The sequence below is a fragment of the Homo sapiens genome, chromosome 6, assembly GCF_000001405.40.
Source record: "Homo sapiens chromosome 6, GRCh38.p14 Primary Assembly".
Taxonomy (NCBI): Eukaryota; Metazoa; Chordata; class Mammalia; order Primates; family Hominidae; genus Homo; species Homo sapiens.
In genome coordinates, this window is record NC_000006.12 from 25180531 (window position 1) to 25182678 (window position 2148).

Consider the following 2148-nt stretch of genomic DNA (forward strand, 5'->3'; position numbering starts at 1 on the left):
AAGGGAGATTAAAACAGCCTTCTAAATACTAAAAACCAGAGAAATCTAGCCTTTATGCATGTTTGTAGCTTGAATTTACACTACCTGAGAGAATTGGAGAAAAGTCTTGCTGAACATTTAATTTAGAGTGCCCCTGGACTAACAGTTCTCATAAACCTAGAAGAAGGGGAAAATTCTCTTTGAAGGACCCCATCTTTAAGCTAGCTAAAGAGAATTTCTGCAAGTAGAATTACAAACCATGAAGCAGCTCATGGTACAAAATTACTAAACAGCCAAGGCACAATGAGTAAGAGCTAGCAAAAACAACAGATTACATACACATAAAACAGACCCACAATAGTATGGTTAATATTATGATCAATTCTATATGCCTGAGCCTGAAATATGCCTGTTTACATACTTATATCTACAATATGAGAAAGATATAGAAAGATTCTAACCAAGAGAAAGCTGATATAGCCATATTAACTATTAACATATTAATTAAGAGAAAGATGATAAAGCCATCCTCTTTTAAGCAACAAATATTACCAGAGAAAAGGGAGTTAGTTAAGCTGCTGCAGTGCATAAAGGGACCATCCAGAGTGACACGGCGGCCACTCAGCAGGCAGCCCCAGCGCTCATCCTGTCTCCCCAGACCCGCTCACCCCAACGCCGCATTTTCTCCCGCTGGTGGGTGATCATGAGGCGGCCTCAGGCTCCCTCGCCCACCCCTTCCCTGTCCTCGTCCTGGCCCCAGGGGTTGGAGGGAGCACCACTTGCCTCCCACCAAAGCTCCAAAGAGAACTCACAAGGAATTGAATGACCTGGCACGGGACCCACCCCCGCCCAGCACAGTGTACAGCCGGTCCTGTTGGAGATGGCATGTCGACTGGCAAGCTGCAATAAGAGGCAAAATGACAGTCCCAATCAGGGTGTAATATTTTTCTTGCAATTCATTTCCCAACAGACTTCCCCCTCAAACCCCCTAAGGTTGCATTTACAAGAATGTATTTTCCAAATAGTAACAGTAATGGCAGCACGTGTCTTGACATTCTGTGGTCACAGTGGTCTCCAGCACTATTTCAAAAGTACTCTTTTCCATTTGTTCCCCATTGTATGATTCCAATCCACATGATCTTCTAGTGAATGAGGTTGCTGAGATCTACAGAAAGGATAGAGAAAAGTATAGCAGAATAGCTCAGGGATGGACTCAAAGTATGCCAGGTAATTAAAGAAACTGAATAACCTCTACAAATAAAGACAGGGGCACTCTGAAAGAGAAAGTCCTTTTAGGCTGGGCATAATGGCTGACACCTGTAATCCTAACACTTTGGGAGGCTGAAGCAGGAGGATTGCTTGAGCCCAGGAGTTCAAAACTGGCCTGGACAACATAGTGAGACGCTGTCTCTACAAAAAAATTAACAAATTAGCCAGGCATAATGGCATGTGCCTTTGGTCTCAGCTACTCAGGATGCTGAAGTGGGAGGTACCTTGAGCCCAGGAATTCAAGGCTGCAGTGAGTCATGATAGTACCACTGCACTCTGGCCTGGGTGACAGAGCAAGGCCCAGTCTCAAAAAAAAAAAAGGAGCAAGTTCTTTTGATTTCCATTTTAGTGCCTTCTATGAGTATACACCTCACCCTGCCCTGTACATACAACCTGATACAGCAATGCTGCATGTTGTACATACTTGGAACAACAGACTAGAAATACTGTACTTCTGTACCAACATTGCCTCCTAGCAGAGAAGTGTGTGTGTGACAAGCCAGTTCTACACGCATAGCCTAGGTGTGAGACTAAAAGCTTTCCTCATTGACTTAAATTTGGATAACAGTGAGGTGTGGTGGGTATGATGTGTGCTTAGATGTGAGAGAAAAGCTCTACTCACCTGTAGGAGATTGTTTTTCAGTAGACTCCATCTCTAATCAAGACAGTTATGAAAAGCAAAGTGAACTGAAGTTGTTTCTGTATTCATTTTATTGCAAAGGAGCTACATCTTAGGTAAAAATTATGACCAACCAGATTAAACTCTACCCACATCCTGTATTTTAAGGTCTAAGTTTAACTGGACAACATTTATATGGATTGGAGCTATTAGTACATCAAATGTGATGGGTTTTTCTGTTGTTTGGAATAGTTTCAGAAGGAATGGTACCTGCTCCTCTT

At 42.7% G+C, this 2148-nt stretch overlaps 1 pseudogene across 1 annotated transcript; it reads left to right on the forward strand.

Moving 5' to 3' along the window:
* The first annotated feature begins 494 nt into the window (after nt 1–494).
* UBE2D3P5 (UBE2D3 pseudogene 5) lies at nt 495–1265 on the forward strand (annotated as a pseudogene). The gene is made up of 2 exons (XR_007059906.1): nt 495–672; nt 775–1265. The product of XR_007059906.1 is annotated as a UBE2D3 pseudogene 5 (transcript).
* Nucleotides 1266–2148: the final 883 nt, after the last annotated feature.